General features: G+C 38.2%; 1 protein-coding gene across 2 annotated transcripts in view, besides 2 other annotated features; it reads right to left on the reverse strand.

Moving 5' to 3' along the window:
- Positions 1-23145, reverse strand: part of ANOS1 (anosmin 1) — a 203264-nt gene that overhangs the window by 93911 nt on the left and 86208 nt on the right. For both annotated transcript variants that reach the window (NM_000216.4, NM_001440775.1), the window contains exon 3: positions 824-886. In NM_000216.4, the coding sequence (NP_000207.2) occupies positions 824-886 (63 nt within the window). The remainder of the gene's footprint in view (positions 1-823; positions 887-23145) is intronic.
- Positions 10171-10679: an enhancer, noted in NCBI's record as "NANOG hESC enhancer chrX:8600996-8601504 (GRCh37/hg19 assembly coordinates)". NCBI's record gives its function as "activates a minimal SCP1, AML or CMV promoter by ChIP-STARR-seq in naive H9 embryonic stem cells {active_cell/tissue: H9 hESC(naive)}" and the evidence as "EXISTENCE:reporter gene assay evidence [ECO:0000049][PMID:30033119]".
- Positions 20536-21347: an enhancer, noted in NCBI's record as "OCT4-NANOG hESC enhancer chrX:8611361-8612172 (GRCh37/hg19 assembly coordinates)". NCBI's record gives its function as "activates a minimal SCP1, AML or CMV promoter by ChIP-STARR-seq in naive H9 embryonic stem cells {active_cell/tissue: H9 hESC(naive)}" and the evidence as "EXISTENCE:reporter gene assay evidence [ECO:0000049][PMID:30033119]".

The raw sequence follows: 23145 nt of genomic DNA on the forward strand, positions 1-23145 counted from the left end.
TGTATTCCATAGGGAAGACAGTCCAGTAAAGCAGATCTCCTTTTTTGCACTATTGGTGATTTTAGACAGTGGTCCTCTAGGACAATATTACACATTCTCCCAATAAGGATGATAGAGAGATGAATGGGTAGATACAAGGGTGGATGGCTGGATGGATGAATGGATGGATAGATAGACAAATAGATATAGATAGATAATAGATAGATGGATAGCCGGATGGATGGATAGCTGGATGGATGGATGGATGATGGATGGATGGATGGATGGATGGATGGATGGATGGATGGCTTGCTGGCTGGCTGGCTGGATAGATGAACAGATAGATACTAATCTAACTAATAGTTAGCTGAAGTAAGATGCCTCCTGTACAGTTAAAAGCGGGCAAGCATTCTGCCCAGGATATGAGGAGGAACCCCGAGGGGAACAAAGAGATGAAAATATTTGAGAAACACCATTAGCAATAATATGAGTCTCTTCTCCCAAATGGCATGAATACTTCAAAAGCATGTAAAAACTACTCAGAATAGCTATGATGTAAGGTGGGAGGGTGGTGACAATCTATACCTTTAGAAAGCCTGTAGTCTTCCATCTACACATCATATTTTTTTTTTTGGTCTGGTTAGCCAATAATGCAAGCAGTGGGTAGCCAGGTTTTAAGAAGGCTCTATATTTTTTACATGAATTTACGTATATCCACACACACCTGCAGTTAATGATCTCCCCAAGCTGCAGAAGAATAAGAAGGCCCATTCATTCCCATGACCCCACGTAAGCATAGTCAGATTTGGGTCAAGTGTTTTAAGTACCACTGACGTTCTCCTACCTCACAAAAGCTTTGGCACTGGTGTTTCCTCAGGTCCCCTGATTCCTTGCAGGGCTCCAGGCACTGGAAGAGAGGAACAATAAAAATAAATAAAACATGGAAACAAACAAAGCTGAGAGGAAAAAAGAATTCACCTGTGATTGTTGCTTTTTCAATGCCTGTTTATTCTAGTTAGTTTAGAAAACCAAAGAATCAGCTGCTCTTTTTAACTGGGTATAACACGAATCTGAGCAAAAGCATCATTACAGAACGCGGACCAAAAAATGTATTTCAACACAATTGGAAAGGAAAAGTTACAGCGCCCGGCAGTGACTTACAGGAAAAGTAATGATCGTCACCATCAGCTGGAGGAATTGGGGTAAGACATATTTTCTATTCAGTAAGAAATATTTTCTTTTCTTTTCTTTTTTTTTTTTTTTTTTTTTTGAGACAAAGTCTCATTCTTGTCCCTAGGCTGGAGTGTGATGGGGCGATCTCGGCTCACTGCAACCTCCACCTCCCAGGTTCAAGTGATTCTTCTACCTCAGCCTCCCGAGTAGCTGGGATTACAGGCGCCTGCCACCACACCGGGCTAATTTTTGTATTTTTAGTAGAGATGGGGTTTCACCATGTTGGCCAGGCTGGTCTCGAACTCATGACCTCAGGTGATCCACCCGTCTCAGCCTCCCAAACTGTTGGGATTACAGGCGTGAGCCACTGCGCCCAGCCAAGAAATACTTTCTAAAGGTTGTTGTTTCATGGGATTTTTTTCCTCATAAAAGTTAATATTACATTTCTTTTAAATTGGCAGCATAGGGCTATTTTTTGTACACTCTTCTACAAGTGAAAATGCATTGTATTAAATTTATGTCTGTATGTATGTACACATATGTATTATTGTTAACTTGTGTCCTTATCTCAATGAATCCAACAGCACTCAGATACATCGAGTTTAATCACTCCATTAAAATACATTGAATAAATCTGTTAGATTATGACATGAGAGTCTCATAACAGAAAATAAGGTTTGCTTAAACATACATGCATATAACTTATTACTATATACATTCTAATAAATCAAAGACACTAGCCAGACTCCATTGTTCAAGAACGTTTGTAATAATAAATAGTAAGATTGTTGGATAAACAAATTATATGCACATATAATATAGTTTATTACTAATATACACTATATATATTATATATACACACATGATATATAAAATATATATACTCTGAGGCCAGGTGTGGTGGCTCAAGCCTGTAATGCCAGCACTTTGGGAGGCTGAGGTGTGCAAATCACTTGAGGCCAAGAGTTTGAGACCAGCCTGGCCGACAAAGTGAAACCCCGTCTCTACCAAAAAATACAAAAATTAGCCTGGCATTGTGGCGCCCACCTGTAGTTCCAGCTACTCGGAAGACTGAGGCAGGAGAATCACTTGAACCCAGGAGGTAGAGGTTGCAGTGAGCCGAGATCGGGCCACTGCACTCCAGCCTGGGTGACAGAGCAAAACTCTGTCTCAAAAATAAAAATAAAAATAAAAATAAAGCATATATAGTGTGTACATACGGGATGTCTGTGTGTGCCTGATTGTTAGTAGCCAGGCCTCATGGTTGAAAAAAAAAATGTTACATTCATATGCATGGAAACTTGATCCTCAAAATTATATTTAATGCAAGTTGTAATTTTAAACATTAATAGTCATATAGTCAGATGTCAGTCATCTAAATATAAGCATAGCCCTAGCTCTCATACATTCATGGTTATTTTATCTATATTATTTCTATTTCATTATTGATGAGTTTTCAAATGACAGTAGAAATTCTCAGTTAAATTTCAGATATGTATAATGTAGAATTCCGGATATATGGTGAAGCAATACTACTTTTGCACTCTGTTTTCTAGTAATCTCTTCCATGTTTTAAAATACAGATACAGTTAGAAGATACACTGGAAAACTCTGAAGAAACTTAATTTTCAATATTTGTTGCCATCTTTTTATCAATTATATGTATGAAATCAACTGCCCCTGTGCCAACTGTCAATTCTTTATAACAATAATGCTCAAAGTGTGATCAATTACTGATATTATGGGCATCCTTTGGAGTTTGTGTGAAATGAAAATTCATGGGCCTCATTCTCAACCTACAGTCTGAATCTCTGGGACCAGGGTCCAGGAATCTATTTTAACAAGTTCTACTGAAAATTCTGATGCTTAGTAAACTTTAAAAAGAACTGCCATTGGCCGGGCACGGTGGCTCACACCTGTAGTCCCAGCACTTTGGGAGGCCGAGGCGGGCAGATCATGAGGTCAGGAGATCGAGACCATCCTGGCTAACATGGTGAAAACCTGTCTCTACTAAAAATACAAAAAATTAGCTGGGTGTGGTGGTGGGCGCCTGTAGTCCCAGCTACTTGGGAAGCCAAGGCAGGAAAATTGCTTGAACTCAGGAGGCAGAGGTTGCAGTGAGCTGAGATCATGCCACTGCACTCCAGCCTGGATGACAGAGCAAGACTCTGTCTCAAAAAAAAAAAAAAAAAAAAAAAAAAGAACTGCCACCAAATTTGATGTTTGCATTTAACAGTGTCTTTATGGAATAAATGCTTGTTGGATGTTTCTTGAGTGAAATGACAAAGACTTACCTTGCAAGTAGCTGAATCTCTGCCCGTGAACAATCCCTAGACCATTACTCTTTGGAGTAATGTCTCTTTCTTGCTTCATATAAGTGCCATTAAGAACATATATTTCTCATAAAAAAATTTTTAGATGTCATAGTAATGTTGCATATGAACATTTTAAATTATTTTCATTTTTTTAAAAAAACTTGAGCTCTTTAATAATTCTTTTCTAAGACATATATGAGCCTGCCCCAAGTTACAGTGCTTACTTCTCTCAAGAATGTTCAAAAACAAATTTTTCATCAATATAGCAATTCTAAAAGAAAAACAATTTTAATAGTAATGAAACATTGTTTAAAAACTTATCTAAAGGCCGGGCGCGGTGGCTCACGCCTGTAATCCCAGCACTTTGGAAGGCCGAGGCAGGCGGATCACAAGGTCAGGAGATCGAGACCATTCTGGCTAACACAGTGAAACCCTGTCTCTACTAAAAATACAAAAAAAATTATCCAGGCGTGGTGGCGGGCGCCTGTAGTCCTAGCTTCTCGGGAGGCTGAGGCAGGAGAATGGCGTGAACCCGAGAGGCGGAGCTTGCAGTGAGCCGAGATCACACCACTGCACTCCAGCCTGGGCGACAGAGTGATACTCCGTCTCAAAAAAAAAAAAAAAGAAAAGAAAAAAACTTATCCAACTTACTTATGATTTCCTTAAAGAACTAGTTTTTTGTTTCCTATGGCTACATCAATGCTTTGTCCTCAAAGCTCTTGTTACTTATTTTTTCTAGACATTTGCTTCAAGGCAAAAATGTTTAGTAGTTATTTAAAAGTATGCTAAGACCTAATTCTTCCTCAAGACCATTTGAAATGAATACATGACACTCTTGCCACTGCAAGGTAAGTCTTTATCATTTCACTCAAGAAACACCCAACAAACATTTATTCCATAAAGACACTGTTAAATGCTATGTGGCTAACAACGTCTGAAAATAAGCATGTGATTTTTGTTTTCTCTTATTGCTAAAAATATAAATTATAAAAATATGCTGCTACATGTGTACACAGTTGCATTTTCACAACTATAGATATCGGTGCACAAAAAGTCTCAAGCCTTTGAAATCTCCATAATCCCACATAACCATGGTCCTGAGAGCTTGTGGAATTGTCAAATACCTTATACAAAACAAATACTATTTACAAAAACAGGCATATTTCTGGAATGCTAATCAAAGCAATACACAACACACTTGTTTTGCTATTAATCCAGAAGCTCTGCCAAGTCTAGCATCAGTATATGTCATTCATTTAAAGCTCTATTTTAATTGCATTCCTGCTTCAGATCCAGTAACTAGTAATCAGCAGTATCTAAAGACATTTTTCAAAATGTTATTAATGACAGCCAACATTTTCTTTTAATAATCCTCCATGAAATCTCTCTGACAAGCACAACCTATATACAATCATCTGAGTAAATGTTTGCAGGATAAGTTTGCCAAAAGTCTATTTCTTTATAATACTCTGGCCAGTTAAAAAAAAAAAGATTTCAACAAAAGCTAAAGTGTTGCGGGAGAAAACGACAATGACACACTTTCTCTCATACTTCATGTAGAACAAAAAACTTCCTATTTCTGCAAGCAATTTAAAAAAAAAAAAAGGTATGTCAAAAGACTGCAGCCCTGCCAGAGGTGTTAGAACCCAAAGGACTCTATCTTGAACAGGGGCTGGGTAAAATGAGGCCAAGAACTGCTAGGCTGCATTATCAGGAGGTTAGGCATTCTTAGTCACAGGATGAGATAAGAGGTTGGCAGGACTAGTTGCACAAGATACAGGTCACAAAGACCCCAGTGATGAAACAGGATGCAGTAAAGAAGTCAGTCAAAACCCACCAAAACCAAGATGGCAAATGAAAGCAACCTCTGGTTGTCCATGTGCTCATTATGCACTAATTATAAGGCATTAGCATGCTAAAAGACACTCCCACCAGTGCCATGACAGTTTACAAGTGCCATGGCAATGTCCAGAAGCTACCCTATATGGTCTAAAAGGGGGAGGAAACCTCAGTTCCAGAACTCCCCACCCTTTTCCCAGAAAACTCATAAATAATCTACCCCTTATTTAGCATATAATCTAGAAATAATGATAAGTTTACTCAATCAAGCAGCCCATGCCATTGCTCTGCCTATGGCACAGCCACCCTTTTATTCCTTTACTTTCTTAATAAACTTGCTTTCACTTTACTCTGTAGCCTTGCTCTTGAATTCCTTCCTGCATGAAGCCAAGAACCCATGTGGCCTCCCAGACTGAACTCCAATTTTGGGGTTTACCTTGTGACAACCCCACATCTCTCTTCCACGAGAGGAGTGATTATGAGAGAAATACTACTACCAGGAGACAATTGCTTTAGAATGTATTACATAAACTCCTATAGGCGCCATGATCATGTACTGCCTAAAACTATCCAAAACAGTAACCAAAGTTTATATTTTTAGCAAAGGTTTTAGGCTTTCAAGTTTTAGGATGATAGACTAAAATCATTTCTTCCGAGGCTACTGCTTCAATTCCAATGAAGAAACACTTTAAATTTCAAAGAAAAATATGTAGATTGAGAGAGCTAATCGCATATGTCATCGTTTGGCAGGTAGATACTAAGTATGTTTCTACTTAACATAGAAACTTTACAGATTACAGACCACTTTTAAAACTATTTGTCTAGTGGAGCCTCATCACAACACATCTATAGAAGTATGTAAAATTATGCACTATTGGCTGGGAATGGTGGCTCATGTCTGTAACCCCAGCACTTTGGGAGGCTGAGATGAGATGATCTCTTGAGCCCAGAAGTTCAAGAATAGACTGAGCAACATAGTGAGACTTTGTCTCCACTAAAAATTAAAAAACTAGCTGGGCATAGTAGTGTGCACCTGTAGTCCCAGCTATTCAGGAGGTTGAGGTGGGAGGATCACTTAAGCCCGGAAGTTTGAGACTGCAGAATGCACCACTGCACTCTGCAGCCTGGGTAACAGAGTAAGACTCTGTCTCAAAAAAGAAAAAAAAATTTTAAAAAGGGCACAATTATTCTTACATTTTAGAGAGGAAACACTGAAGTTAAGAGAGGTTAAGGAAACAAAGCTAGTGACTCTGGGAGAGATTGGGGCAATTGGGATTGAACCCATGCTTTAGCACACTCAAATAAAGGGTATTTTCCATGATAAAGCACTTTATGCCACTTGCTACAGGGGATTCATGAGACAATGTATATAAAAGATATCTGTACACTGAAAAGTACTTTGCAAATCCATGGGATTAGTAAACTATGGTGCTCCCAGATCTCTCTGGGATTCAGTTCCAGAATGCCCTAGGTGTTACGCATTCCAAGACCTTCATATAAGCACAACCAATAAGACTATTTCATGTCACAGAGAGAGACCTCCAACTCATGAGTGGAAGTACTGATCAACAAGGAAATTGTGGATACTACTTTGTGAATCACCACCTGGCCAGTTTGGCACCAAATTCCATACTTTACATTTAACCAAACACTTTCATAAAAGGACAGCAGAAGAAATGTTCTTACCAAAACAGCCATCACAATAAATTCTAAAGCAAAAAAGGTTCACACGAAATTCAAAATTTTACATTATCCAATAATCAACAAGTGGAACTCGTGATCAGATTATGCTAAATGAATAGAACCCATGCTAAAACAAAGAAGCAGCAGGTCCATAGATTTCAATCTGTTCGAATTAGCAACAAATTAGCTAAATCAACAATATGGATTAATATTTCTAATGTGCAAAGTACTTATCTAGTCACCAAGACAGGGGGAAATGTGGCATGATTCATTCTGCCCTGAGGGAGCATGGAATCTCTTATGGGAGAAAAGTATGTAGATAAATAAGTCCGCATCAGTGAATCATAAAATAAACGAGTTAAGAACGACATGCCGGCCAGGCGTGGTGGCTCATGCCTGTAATCCCAACACTTTGGGAGGGTGAGGTGGGCAGATCACTTGAGGTCAAGAGCTCGAGACCAGCCTGACCAACATGATGAAACCCTGTCTCTACCAAAAAATACAAAAATTAGGCAGGTGTGGTGGCAAGCGCCTGTAATCCCAGCTACTTGGGAGGCTGAGGTGGGAGAATTGCTTGAACCTGGGAGCTGGAAGTTGCGTGAGCTGAAATTGTGCCACTGCACTACAGCCTGGGTGACAGAGTAAGCCTCCATCTCATAAATAAATAAATAAACAAACAAAACCAAAAAAAAGTCATAAGAAATGAAAAAAAGGATATGTATTTTCATAGAGGATCATTGAAAAGAACTTCACAGAACTAGGGACCCATAAATCAGCTTAGAAGGGTGACTGTGACTAGAACTTGACCAGCTGTAAGTAAATTTGGGATAAGGATAATATTGAATGTATGGAGTGGGGAGTATGGTGTCTGATTGCTAGTAGGAGAAAACACATAGCAGAAAACAAGGCTGGAAGGATAGCCCTTGGATTCAATGAGGAGCCACTGACACACTCAGAACTAATTGTTTGTTCCAACTTGTGTTTATGAAGACTTGGGTGTTGGAACAGAAGATGGATTAGAGAGGTGAGACATTGCAGTAAAGTAAACCAGAGCAAAAGTCTTTACAACGTCTTCCAATCTTCTGTCTGCCATTTCTAGTGTCAGTATGCCACCAGGGTGTCAGAGGACATTGGGTGAAAGGAGGAAAAGGATGTTAACCTATGAAAGGGAATATGGAAGTGCAATCTCATCAACATGGTTACCAATTTGTTTTGAGAAGTGGGGATGAGAGAAATCAAATGGGGAAAGGCACCAAAGTTTCCAATCTAGATCTCAAGGGAACTGATGGTGTCACCAAGACGAAGGAAGAAGGAGAAACAAGCATGGGGAAAGATACGGAACTGAGTGCTTAACACAGCGAGTTAGAGGTGTCCAGGGTACGTACAAGGAGTGTTGTCCAACAAGCTATTGAAATTGTGGATATGCAGTTTAGGATAAAGGTTAAAGCTAATGATGGCATTTATAAGTTTCTTTTGTCTTTCTCTCTCATCATTAATTTATTCCTTTTACAACCATTTCCTGAGTTCTAACTATAACCACAGTATCATGCTAAGTGATGGGCCTATGGCTAAATCTATGAACTACACAAGGGACTGCCTTCAAGGACCTTAAGTCTCTACAAAGATCATAGCATGTACATTTACAAGCAAACGTCAAAGATACAGATAAAGAGGTACAGACAAAATTAAATTGGAGTGTCAAAAATTTTAGGAGTTGGGCTATGCGAAAACTAGAATGGCAACCTGTATGAGATTTCATGGTTTAGTAAAGTTTTTTTTTCTTTAATCTGTTTTGTTCTCTCTTTACGTGTTTGTGCTTCAAAATGAGGTGACTGGAACACGTTAATAGGCAGAAAACAAAGGATCAAACGGAGGAAGTCTGACTGAAGATCAGGATGATTGAAGATGTAGAAGAAGTAGGAAATTATCAATTGATCAAGGTCCCAGAGACTGTTGTAGGGGTTACAATATGAAAACAATGAATTTTAGAGAGGCAACGTATCACTCCTATCATTGAACCCAACCCTATACAGCTTCCAGATTTGAAAACTGAAACATTTTCACAGAGGCAACGGCCAAGTGGTAGGGTTTAGATCCATGGCTCTGCCTAGGACTGGACATGAACGTACAGTTTCACTCCAGCTTAGAGGATGTAAGCATTTGGATGTAGGGAAATGTGACAATGATCATGTGGCATGTTGATAACCTGTGTGAATAAGCCACAGGTTTCCAATATGGTGGGAAGGCACTGATGTTTAGATGTGTGTGCCTTCGTGGATGCAATTCTGGTGGCTGGGCTTTAGTAGTCTTGAATGGATAGATAAGTCAGGCCACTTCCCAGGTGAGGGACTCTGAAACTCATGATTCTAGCCAAGTCTGAAGGCAACCAAAAGAGCACTGAGTTTTAGATTTGGACTGACCCAGAGGAGAATCCCTCATCTACCTCAAGCTAAATGATTTTTTCCCATTCAAGTTTTATTTTAACCTCTCTCAACTATACGTTTCTGATACATAAAACAGTGAAAAAATATTTGCTCAGGTGGACTTTTTTCAAATGAAATTTATAAAGACCACCTTTTAAGGTGTCTACACATAGTAGGTACTTAGTGAATCTAGTTCTCTTCCATTTCTAGGGGACCAATAAGGAGACTTTATTTTATAGTTCTTTCATATTTCCCTAATGCCTACCTACATTTTCCCTTTTAATTGGAAAAGAAATTCAAATTTCTCTTAATTCCAGTCTCTCAAGCATGTTCTAATAATTGTTTTTAAAGTGCCACATTTCTTGCCCACATTTCCAAAAGCTAAGATTGAATGGTGTGGTAATATTCTGTGTGTGGCCAGAACATGGAATGAGAAGGGATATCCTGAGACCATAGCCCAGTACCTTTTCTTTCACAAAAGTATTTTCTGTTGAATAATTAAAAAATCAAATAATGCCTTATACTTAATTTTGTCTGGAGTATTGCCTGGATATAAAGAATAAGCCTTGGGGTTCTTAAAAAAAAAAAACCTCCAACTTTTTATTTTATATGGGTATACATTCATATCATATAACAATGCTATCTACAAAAGTTTGCAAAGACCATTTCTGTTTTCTGAATTAATGGCAGCAAGTTTCTCTAAAAAGCTGTGGACCTGCTTTTTAGATGAAAGCTGTTTTTTTCTCCCAAATATATTTCCTAAAATATGTGCACCCTACTGCCTTTAGAAGTATTCATGGCCTCCCTCCAGCTCTAAATTGGTACTGTATAGAAATTGTTACAATCCTGTGTGTCGAAAAGTGCACTGTGTCTTGCCAAAATAATGAAATCTTTTGGCAGACAGCCCTCTGAAGTGCAGTTGAACAATCATTGCAGCCTCAATCACAGAGGATTAGCATGCCAGCCTAGCACAACCACAACAGCATCAGGCCTGAGACGTTCGCATCACAAATCAACTTGCTCTGAAACGTCCGAAGGGCAATGACTCTCTCACTGCGAAACTTATCAGGAAACACGGGCCTCATTTTATCACAACTACTTTTTCACAACAAAGGGAGTCCTTGGAGTTTCGGGGGAAGTGTTTAGAAACTACATAAGTAAATGAGAGGAAAGCAATCAGAAAACCATACTCTCAGTGTAATTCTTTTCCACTTAATTAAGTTTCTTGAAGTAGACAAAGTCATGGAATTCTCTTACCTGGAAGACAAAGCATACCTTCTTTGCATTCCTATTTTTCAACCGCAATCTTCTAATATGGCATTTTTGGTACAGTATTGAAGCTTCAAATAGTATTCCCATGGTCACTGCTCAAATTTAAAAGATATTAATTATGAAGAGAAAGTGCTAACTTTCCAGTGTAGAAACCTAGCAGAGCGCACCTTAACAAAAGGATCAAAGATATTGCCTCCAAGAATGGGGGAAAAAAGCAAAACGAAACTCAGGTGTCTCCTGAAAGGATGCACTAGCAAGGACTCAGCATCTCACAGAGGCAGGATTCCTGCCCATTATAGAGAACCTGAATCTAACCAAGAGGAAATACCAAACAATCTACAAAGCAATTAGCCTCTAGTCTTCAAAAATATCAATGTCCTGAAAGACAAAGAAAGACTGAGGAATGGTTCCAGACCAAAGGAGACTAAAGATACATGACAACAAATGCCACACATAATGAAGAATTGGATCCTGAATCAGACAAAATAAGGCTATAAAGAACATTATCGGGACAATCAGTGAAGTTTAAATATAAACCGTAGATTAGATGTTGGCGTTACATCAATGTTAAATCACCTACACTTGATAATTTTATCAAATGATGTTGGTATTATATCAGTGTTATCACTTACATTTGATAATTCCATTCTCTTAGTAGATTCTCTTAGTAGTTACTAAGAGAATGCACTTGTTCTTAAGAAATGCATGCTTAATTACTTGGAGGTAAAGAATCATGATGCCTGCATCTTCTTTTCAAATGATTGGAAAAAAATGATTATAAGTGTATGTGTGTGTATATATACACATAGTATATATGTATACGTTATACATTTGTGTATATATACATATATGTATATGCAGAGAGAGAGAATATGATGAAGCAAATATAGCCAAAAAAAAGAAAAAGAAAAGGAAAAAAAGGAAAGGTAACGACTGGTAAGTCTAGATTGGGTCAAGCAACTAGAAACCAGGGACCAAATGTGGCCCACCTCTTGTTTTTGTAAATAAAGTTTTATTGGAACAGAGCCATGTCTGTTCATTTACATATTGCCTGTGGCTGCTTTTGCACTACAGCAGCAGAGTTGAGTAGTTGCAACAGATGACCAAGCCAGCAAAGAATATTTATAAATCTTTGACAGAGAGCTTGCAATACCCTGATTTAGATGAAAAGTATATGGAAGTTCTTTGCAGTGTTCTCATAACTTAAGTGTGTTTTTTAAAGTTAAAATAAAAAATAAATTCATAAAATAATCTTAAAATTATTTAAAATCTCAAATCACAAGTTTTCTCTAGCTGGCATTATTAAAAAGCTATTATGGATATAAATCTATGGGCAGAGAGCATTAAAAAATTTAAGTTCCTATCAATGGGCTTATAGGAATAAACAGATTTAAAGACAAATGCTTCAGATCTGAAACCTCATACCAAATAGATGATATGTCTTCCCAAGCAACTGTTCAAGAAGAAAGAGACAAAACCTAGAATCTTTTAGGCTCTGTAAAGTCAGTTTCAATAGGCTGTATAAACTGGTGGTTTAACCACAGCCTCAGAAACCCTAAAGTAGAGGACCCAGCATAGCCTCAGTCATCTTGGAAGTCCCAGGTAAGCTCCAGGGTGACTCTGTAAGGATCCCAATTGTCCTTCCTCTCTGCCATCACTTCTAATTACAAAACACAGGAAACGAGGTCACTCAGCACTGTGGTCCAATTTGCCTCTTGGACCCTCTGTGTCCCTCCCTCCTTTATACTAGATAAGTCCTTCTTACAACATCCAAGCACGATGTTCCTCACAACGAAGATAGGAGATGGATAGAACCTACTTCTTTTGCAGTTGCAAACTACTGCATGGCATGTCCTAGATAAGTATTAGTTTTCAGTAGTATGTTCACTCCCTGGCTACATTCATACATGAATTCTAAAATCAGCAGAATCAGTCTGTGTTTATTAAAAGTCCAATGAAGGAAAACTGATGTTGGTGTTTTGCCAAGACAGAGCAGTAAAGGAGGGGTAGGTGTCCTTTCCTCACAGGAGGAAGCTTACATCCTCACATGAACATTTTCCTAAAGACACAAAAAAACTCACCCTCAGTGGGAAGTTTACTGGCGCACAGACAGCTTAATAAAATGATATACATAACAAGACAGCCTTTTCTCTGGGAAAATAAAAATGCATATTTAATCAAAGTGCTAAAAAATCAGTAAGGGCTAGAAACTATTATCTGTACATGTAATTTCCAACCCAGAAAGTGTAACACACACACAGACACACAATTTTTTAAAATTATAATCTGATTATAGGACATCTGTATATCCTTCGGCAGACTATCAAATCCATCGCTCAGCTTTCTCCAATACTGACCCCCAGGTAATCAAAATAACTCAAGAATCCTGGCAGAGCCATTAGCCAGGTTTTACAGGCTGAATTAACGGGATCCATGTTGTGCGTCCAGAATCTCAAGTGTTCATTAGATCAGATTTTGCGTAACTCAACTGGAATCACCAGTCACAGCATTCGAAGAACTTAAACAGCCAGGCCCGTCTCCCCAGTGAAGGTCAGAATTGAATCTGCACAGCATGATTCTGACATCACTGTGCTGCAAGGTTAAAAAAAAAACTGTGACAAGTTGAATGGAGATTAGGATTTCCCTCACTTGGTGCTATGTTTAAAAGCTTATGCTCATCTAGCTCTGATCCTTATCTCCATATATATTTTTTTCCTACACATTTTCTTGACAACACACATCTCCTAAGAAAACATTTGATTGGTAGTCCTGGAGAACCATGTCAATCTTATTCCCAAGTTGGGTGGCCTGGTGTCCTTTCTTCCTGTGCTAATGACCTTACAAAATGCGGCATACATCACAGGAGGAATGGGATTTTGCTCTTTGTCCCTGTGTTAAATCTCACAGAGCTACTTATAAGCCTGTCTTATTTATAATATCTGCTTCTTGCTTAACAAGATTGTTTATATCAGTAATATATAAGAATGCCATGGGTAACTATATGCTGTTGGCTTATTGTTTCCAATAAATGCATCTCTTTGTCTGAGAGGTGAGTGATTATAGTAGGTTCTAAGAGAGAACCTAAAATGAAGCATGTCTGTGCAGTGAGACCAATCAGCAACAGTGTCAACACTAATCCTCTTCTGATAGAAGGAGCTTGTAACACTGACAGCTTAATATCTATCTGTGTGGCTTGGTTGTCTGATATGTCAAACTCAAGGAAGGCATGGTGTGCTCTTGAAAAGACCAGGGAGCCAAATCTCATGGGGACTTTCATGTTTCCTGTCTCCCTTGCCAGATCAAATCACCCCAGCTTTGTCAACATGAAAGCTCCTCTAAGACATTAGTGCATCCCTGAGCAAACTCATTCAATTTGGCATTATGTGGTAGGTCTGCTCCAGATTAATGAGTTAGACATCATATTCATAACTTTTCAGATGCTTAAAAGGAAACACCATGGTGGAGAATGTATGTTAGTTATGGATGGAAAACTCCGTTTATAATAGAACCTGTTTGGCCTTTAACCCAAACTTGAAATTTGTACAACCTCACTTGAATATTTAATTTTATTCTCTCTTCACCACAAAAAGAGTGATGTTGAAGTTCTTGTGGCCAATGGAATTCCATCATAATACAGTAACAATGAAAGCTATTTGTGAACTCAACCAAAACGAGCAGCAAGCACTAACTCAGTAAGTTTGGATCATGAAGGTTTGTTTAACTACTGCAGTCTTTCAAGAGATTTTGCACAGGGTTTAGAAGAGCCTCCTTCATACTGTGGGCAATGCAAATGTCAGTTTCTTGTGCTTGTTTTCCCTTGTTATCCCCTTGACTGAAATACACATTTAAGGACTCAACCAAAGATGTCTCTTCCTCTTGTTGTTTTGCATTTTACAACTTAGCTAACTGAACACTGTTTTGATTAACTCTAAGCTTACCTTCATTACCCCTTTACCCATTCATTCATCAGCTGCTCTGCTGAACCAAAAAAATGCAGAAAAAAGAAAAAAGGAGTAGCTCACATTACCTAGACCAGTGGTGTCCAACATAATGCAAGAATGGAATTGTTCTACATGTACACCATCCAATATGGCAGCCAGCAGCCACATGGGGCTACTGAGCACTTGAAATGTGGCCAATGAGGCTGAAAGATGAAATATTCAATTTTAATAAATTTAAATCTATAAAGCTATATGGCTGGTAGCTACCATATTGGAGAGAAGAAACTGAAAAAGTTAAAAGGAAAGTACAAAAGTATGCATTCAACATCCATCACACCCACCTTCCAGTGGAAGAGGAAGTAGAAGCTGCATTTCCCAGATGATCATGCCACTGAAATTCTGAATTCAATTAGGTTATGCTCATCAATATATTTACGCAGCATTTGAAGGCAAAAAGAAAACAGAAGATATTTTCTTGCTTGTGCCTTGTTCACTATTTCTGTGGTTTAGAACCCTTGTGAAAATGTGAGGGTTTTCTGCTGCAGTCTTCAAGTCTTCATTCTCCAGCTTCCTGGGTATCTGTAGAGGCTTCATCAGGGGATGGCCCTTGACTCTCACATTGTTACTCCAGAGAGGGCTCAGAGCAAGCAGGAGAGTCAGCTCTCTGTTTTAGAGTCACTTCTGGAGGCTGAGCCTAGAGTCCATTCCTTCAACACCTCTAATCATTTTAGAAGCATCTAATCCCTTGTATTAAGTTCCTTCTAGTTTATGTACCTAGAGTAGTTTGTTTTCTTCACTGACACTACCTGATGAAAGCAACTAAGATGATACATGTGAACTGAAATTTTTTAACCCTTGTGACATCAAAAATGCAAAGAATGTAGCCATAACTTTTCTGATTATCTATTGTGTCACCAATATCATTTCTAATCTTACAAGAGTCTCCCTTTACTTTGTAACCTCCCTCTCTACCTTCTCTGCGTATGTATTTATTGATTCACATCTATGCATTGGGCAATCCAAGAGATATTAGGAGCACGTGGATGCATCAAACACACAGTCTGCATGCTTTGACCTTAGAATATGATGGAGAACAAAATTAAGCCATTACAATACAGTGGGATCAAAGCCGTGAGACAAAGGCGTACAGAAGTACAGATGGGGAGAACCTAACCCAAGTGACAACTATGCAAAATTCCCTGGGCAAAGGGATATGTCTAGGCAGAAAACAAAATAATGAGTAGGATTAACCAGGCAAAAGCAGGTGGGATGAGAGAAGAGTATGTTCCAGATAGATTTGATCTTTTTAAGCATGAAAATAAAACTGTAAATTTTAGCAACATAGAGGCACTCCAGAGGTTTCTGCTGTGTTCTGAGATGAAGACAAATGATCTATAATTCACAGGCTATTTAGAGTCAACTTTAGCTTTGGGACAAGTGGGAGCTTGGATCTTAGCAATGCTTAGAGCGACTGCTGGATATGTTTTTAGAAGTATAGCAGGCTTTATGTAGACCAGTAGAACAAAGAAAAGAAAATGATTCTTATTGAAGACATGTACGTTTCCTTTATCAGAGAGAAAGGACCTAGCTTTCCTTTCCCCAAAGCATGCATACCACTGGTAAAACGAGTAATCTAATTACTTCAAAAAGACAGCACTCGAAGGTCTGCTTTATCAAATGATAAGATTCCCTAAGTGAAATTCTAATGCACCTGAAAATAACTTATATAAGAACATCATTTTTATAACAGACATGTGATATTTACAATATAGATGATGCCATTCATGCCTGCTTTCTTCCACTTGGGGGGAGCTTAAAAAGAATCTCACTCACACATGAAATCATTTTGGAGATTTAAAATAAAGTGTACAAATCCCACAAATTTAAATAGGCAGCTTAATGTAATTTAATGCCACTACATGTAACAGTTTAACTGGACAAGAACACACAGAAGGAAGAGTAATTATTTTCCATGTTTTATTAGTTTCTTTCCAACTCATTCAGATTGTTATACATATATCAATTCATAAGAGTAACTTAAATACCCTGTATCCTCAGAAAACTGTTTCACCAAGATGCTGCTGATAATGTACCCTCACTTCACCAAGAGGAAACAGATTTGCTTTATTTCTAATGTCACTGAATGTACGTTTATAATTTACAGAATGCTTCTCTTCTGCTTCTTTACTATAATAGAAATGTATTCATGTTTATAGAAAAACAAGAAACTCATATCCAACTTACTCATTTTAAAGAGGAAATGTGATAGACTAACATGCAAAGAATATATTACAAAGAGAATACAAGGCAAAAATATCAGAATGGCATCTTCTGTTGGAAATAGAGGATACTAAATATTTTTGGAGGTTACACATCTGTCAGATATAAGGCAAGTCCTTCCCATGAAGTGATAAGCTTCTCTCTCTTTCTTTGGGAAATGTACTTGCTGTTGCTCTTTGTTAATGAGCAAAATCAGTGACCCCTCTAGCTCAGAAAAGACTCCTGATCACTGCCTCCACCGCATCCCCACCCAGAGGACTAAATGAACCAGTGACAACAAAATGCTCTTGTGCCCTAGGCCCTCTATTTCTCGGAGTTTATAGACCACCTAACAATCAAAGCAGGGCAGTAGGGGGAGGCCGTCTTTGTCCCTGCTGTTACTTTGTGTTTTTTCTCGCTGGCTTCCCAGTCCCCTCCGGGCACCATCATCACCATATCCCTCATGGCTAAGCAGCCAGAGGCATGGGGCTTTCACTCCAAATTTCACGGCATGATGAAATGCAGGGGCTGCCTCTCTGGGGATCTCAAAGCCCTCCTTTGTGGGCCTAGTTGAGGGTCAGGTTAAGTAGCACATTTTGGCAGCAGGCATCTGTTTGTCTTCACGCCATGATCTTCCTAACAAGGGGGAGGGAGAGGAAGGGAAGCGGGAAGAGGAGAGACAGTTTCAGAAAACCACCTTCACAGTGGCAAGCAAATTCCCTTCAGCGGCTTGACAGACTATGAGGCCAATGTAAATCCAATGCCTACCACACTGATGGCCCCACCGAATCAATTCGATTGAGCCGTGAGACAGGGAGCTTTTCCTTTCTTATAGGCTGAGGCCTCACTTGTTGCTCTAAAGAGAAAAAACAAAGCAAGACCCTTTCTTGCTCAGACTTTTTATAAAGAAAATGAACCTGTACAAAAAAAAAAAAAAAACTGTTGGAAAGGTCGCATTTCTTGTTTTTTTTTTCTCTTGTAATATAATCATAGAATTTTAAAATTAATTCTTCTCAATACAGAAACCCTGTTGCTATAATTGGGAGACATTGCTACTCAAGGCAAATAAAGAGCTCATTCTATTTAAAGAAAGCCTTTATGTAGAAAAGCTTTACAAGACATGATTAATATTAATTATTTCTACAAGTCATAGATACAATTTCTACTCTGGAAAGAAACCAGTGGGTAGGGATTGTTCCCTAAAAACTCAAACCACTGAATATGACCAAAGTCAATAGTTCAAAAGTAGAGTTGGTTTTCTAATATAATTAAAACCCACATATCAATGTTTTCTCAGAAAACAGAATTATACTTCGTTCCCTGTGTCATTCTCTAAGAATAGATACTTACTTCCTCATGTCAGCCTATATGCAAGAAGAATAAGCCTTTTAAAATGATGAGAAAATTAGTAGGAAATGATAAATGAGAAATAAGTAGGTCAGTCAGATGTATGGAGTATCCGGAAGAGTAAGGAATATCACAGGGGATTCGAAAGCAATAAAAAATAACATACTTCATGAATCTGAAGAATCATTGTAAAAATCATCAGATGCAGACAGACACACACATGCATGCACATACACACAGCACAAAGAAACTAAAGCATAAATTGCCAACTATCTAGCTCACCCTTGGTAAAGGAGGGAATAATCAGATGTGCAGAAAGAGGGAAAAGGAGGTATCACATGATATAAAACAGCATTCCTCACATTCATCTTCTCATTAAACCATTATTTATTTCTGTGATCCCTTTTTTCTTCAGCAAAGTGGATGATATTATTCCATCAATATTTTAAAAAGAAAAACAGTATCCACTGGAGAATCAGCTTCTTTAGCAATTGTCACCATTGCTCCATTACACTATCACACACACAAAAATTCAAGACCTGCACATCAGGAGATGGAAATGCAAATTACACTGGTGTGCATACACACACAAATACAAAGGCTATCTTATTGGAAGTCTTCATGGATTTCTTAAAGCGCATGGGAATATTATGTCAAATATTAAATACACACCATAGTCAGTTTGGCACATGAAAGTAAAGTCATTCCAAGGTAATGATTTAAAATTGTGTGGTGTTTAGGTAGTCTGCTCATCTTTTCTAAAAAGTATTCATCAAAATTCCCCGAAAACTGATTTAAGATTAATGCTTAGAGTTCTAGATAGGCATCCATTCTGCCGGGTTTTTTTCCCCCTGTTGTCTGGGATTTTATTTTATTAGGTCAGGGGTTTGCAATAGGGGCAAAGGAAGAGACACAGAGTTTATTTTAATATTGTAATGTAATTCTAGAGTAAATTAGTAAAGTTTTATGTATAAAATCTCAGAATAAAATAAATACAACATATTTATAATTCTATCCATACCATTAAGACTTGTACACAAATGCTCCTTACAGCATTATTCATAATAGCCAAAAAGTGGAAGCAAATTTCATATATAATTACTGACGAATGAATGAATAAATAAAATGAAAAAAGAATACATGGAAATATTGTTTAGCAATGAAAAGAAATGGAATACTAAAGCATGCTACAGCATCAATGGGCCTTTATAATATTATGCTAAGTAAAATAAAAAGCCAGATAAAAAGATTACATGCTGTATGATTCCATCATTTATATGAAATGTCTAGAATGAGTCAATCTATGTAGGGAAAGAAAATAGATTAGTGGATATGTAGGACTGAAGGAATTGGAGGGAAAGGGAAGCGACTGCCAATGGCTATGGGATTTTTTTGGGGGTAGTGATAAAAATATTCTATAATTCTGCTGATAATTGCAAGACTATAAATACATGAAAAACCAATGAACTATTTAAACAAGTAAATTGTACAGCATGTGAATTATATTTCAAGAATGTTATTAGGCAAAAAAAAAAAGTTTCTAAATTCACCAGTATATATATGTAATTTATATTGAACAATAATTAAAAATGTACTGACTTTCCCTGTCAAATAGATTGTAAGTTAAAAATTCAGTGATCTTCAACTATCCCATTTTGAATAGATTCATATTGTCAAACATGTCTATTCCATTCAATGGACTAAGCACATGGATCGGTATCTCTTAAAGTGTGGGTTTGGTCCTCCCCTCTCCCACACTCCACCAAGATTAGGATTGAGTAGGTTTGAAGTTGCAGCCAGAAAAATGCATCCATGGGCACCCCAGGTGATCTTGATGCAGGCTGAATTTGAGAGTCATGAGCCATATAGCAGCAATTACTTCAAATTACATGAAGTCTGAGAATAGATCATCAACACATAAAAATGGAAAACTTTATAAAGAACTTTCAATGCCTCCTCTTTCGTGTTAGTTTTTGAATAATAATTTTTCATGCAACATAACCATTCAAAAGCAATAATTCTAGAAACTGTTAGACAGCAATTACATTAACTTAAGGTTTATGAGTCAATTGAAACACATTTTTTTCTAGGTGTTGATGACCTAGAGGAAAATGACCACTTGAAAAATTAAAAACTTAGAGACATATCAATGAAAGAATTGGCACTCAGTGAACTCCTAATAATGCATATAGAAGGTCTTTATTGAATAAAATAGAAGTGTTTGCAACTCAGAATCATCTACTCTTTTTAAATGTCAATTTAACAAAATAATGTATCATTTAAAGATCTGGTGACTAAAATTTTCAGTATAAATCATGTGTTGCATTAATAAGTTGGGCCCTTTCATTTTGTGTTATGCTGTTGTTCCATTCTACTTGAGGACTAAGCTCTGATTCTTTCATGTTGTCCAAATTCCTATCTAAGGGGTCTAGGGAGTCATGCCCTACAAACCATAAGTTCTCATTAGATGGGCTTTATTTAACTCTATATATCATGACTTATTTTGCAACGTGACTCTGGCATAACATTACGAGACAAGGAAGAAAATCAAAATATTTTACCCCCAAAATATGTTTTTTGTTACATTTTGAAATGGTCCTGCAAGCCATCCTTTGTGAGGAAAAATGCACATCTGTAAAGAATCCCTATTAACATAGCTAGACCTTTTCCTTCCAGTCTACCACCTTTTAAAGGGTCTGAATAGGAAACATTTGTCATCTATTGTTTCTAACAGCAGCCACTGTGAGACTTCAAAAGAACTTTGGTCTCCTCAATCTTTTATCTTAACCTGAACATTTCCTTTCCATTGATCCCAGGTCTTTAGACAAAAACTCAGCCAACTGTCCATCAGAAAATGTTTAAATTTACCTATAACCTAGAAGTGCCACCCCCCCAACCCCGCCTCCACTTTGAGTTGTTCCGCCTTTCTGAACCAAACCAATGTCTTTCTTAAATGTATTTGATTGATATCTCATGCCTCCCTAAAATGTATAAAACCAAGCTGTGCCCCGACCACCTTGGACACATATTCTAAGGACCTTCTGAGGGCTGCGTCATGGGCCATGGTCACTCATATTTGACTCAGAATAAATCTCTTCAAATATTCTACAGAGTTTGACTCTTTTCGTCGACATACTTGTGTTTAAGATTTAGCTTGACGAAAATACCGTTATGCAGAGGACCATTCAGCCTGTAAAGTAAAAATAAAGTAATAAAGTTCTAAGCCTCCACTCAATGGACCCCATCTTAGCCAAGGGGTCCCAAATAAACCTGAAAAATTAGTTCAAGCCATGACAGGAAAGAAGGGACAGACATGCCTCCTTCCTTTGGAGTTTAGGCACAACTGACCAGCATTCACATTAGCATAGGGATCTTAAGACTGACAAAACAGACTCTTTGTAGCAATAAGATACCCAACTCCAACCTGACCGTAGTATAGCATCACATGACAGATAGCAGGCCCTGAAAAAAAAAAAAGTATTTTACCTCAAAATATATTTCTTTGACATATTCTGAGATAGCCTTGCAAAGCCATCTCTTGTGGGGAAAATTTGCATTCTGTAGAGAATCGCCTTCCCTTATTAGTTCTTTTCCAGAGAATCTGACACCTTTTAAGGTCCAATAAGAGGTATTTACCATCTATTCTCTCTGAAGCCTGCTACCTGGAGGCTTCACCTACATGACAAGAACCTTGGCTTCTTCAACCCCACTGTCCTTATCTTAACTCAAGCATTTCTTTCTGCTGACTTCAACATTTCAGGCAGAGCTTAACTCTTTCAACCAATCGCCAATCAGGAAATCTTTGAACCCACCTATGACCTGGAAGCCCTCTGCTTTGAAATGTCCTGCCCTTTCAGGCTGAACCAATGTATATCTTCCATGTATTCATTTACATCTTTGCTTGTAACTTCTTTTTCCCTAAAATGTACTGAGAAGCTGCAACCCAGCTACCTTGGGCACATGTTCTCAGGACCTTCTGAGGCCCTATCATAGGCCACGGTCCTTAACTTTGGCAGAATAAACCTCTACATTGATTGAGACCTGTCTCCAATACTTATTGGTTTACAAACCTTAACATTATATTAGATGGGTTTCCCATGTGTAATTTCAAAATGCAATGCTTTCACTGTAAAAGAACTCAGCTGCAAACACATGCCCCTCAATAGGCAGCTCAAAGTTCCTCCAGGGAGAAGCACTGAGGCAGAGGTGAAGCTAGGAGCTGAGTGCAACATCGACGAAGGGAGTCCAGGCATCCTGTTGTCCAGCAGGAGGGGAAATGGCCATGTCTCAGCAGAAAGAGGAACCAAAGAGCTTTCTGCAGGTGTCGGCAGAATGTGAATTGACAAAGATTCTCAACTTCACCTTTCTGAAGAAATACTTCTCGTGTGGCCCCTCAGACCCCAGGCTCAAAACACACACACCTTTCAGTCAACCTGATTTCAGCAAATATCCTACCCTAACATAGCAGTAGATTTACCTGTCTGGACTTTTGTTTTTACTATTACTTCCCCTCTTCATATTTCTCCACTCTTCTTCTGAATGTGTTCTCTTTAAGCTTTGTTGTTGTTGCTGTTGTTTCCATTTATTTTTATTTTTAGTTTCAGTTTAGTTTAGTTTTGTTTTGAGACAGGGTTTCACTCCTGTTGCCCATGCTGGAGTTCAGTGGTGCAATCTTGGTTCACTGCAGCCTCAACTTCCCAGGCTCAAGCGATTCTCCCACCTCAGCCTTCTCAGGAACTGGGACTATAGGAAAATATGAATAGATTCATATTGTCAAACTAAGGCGCCTGCCACCGCGCCCAGCTAATTTTTTTGTGTTTTTAGTAGAGACAGGGTTTCAACGTGGTCTCGATCTCCTGACCTCGTGATCCGCCCGCCTCGGCCTCCCAAAGTGCTGGGATTACAGGCGTGAGC

This window comes from Homo sapiens, chromosome X (genome assembly GCF_000001405.40).
Source record: "Homo sapiens chromosome X, GRCh38.p14 Primary Assembly".
In the NCBI taxonomy this organism is placed as follows: domain Eukaryota; kingdom Metazoa; phylum Chordata; class Mammalia; order Primates; family Hominidae; genus Homo; species Homo sapiens.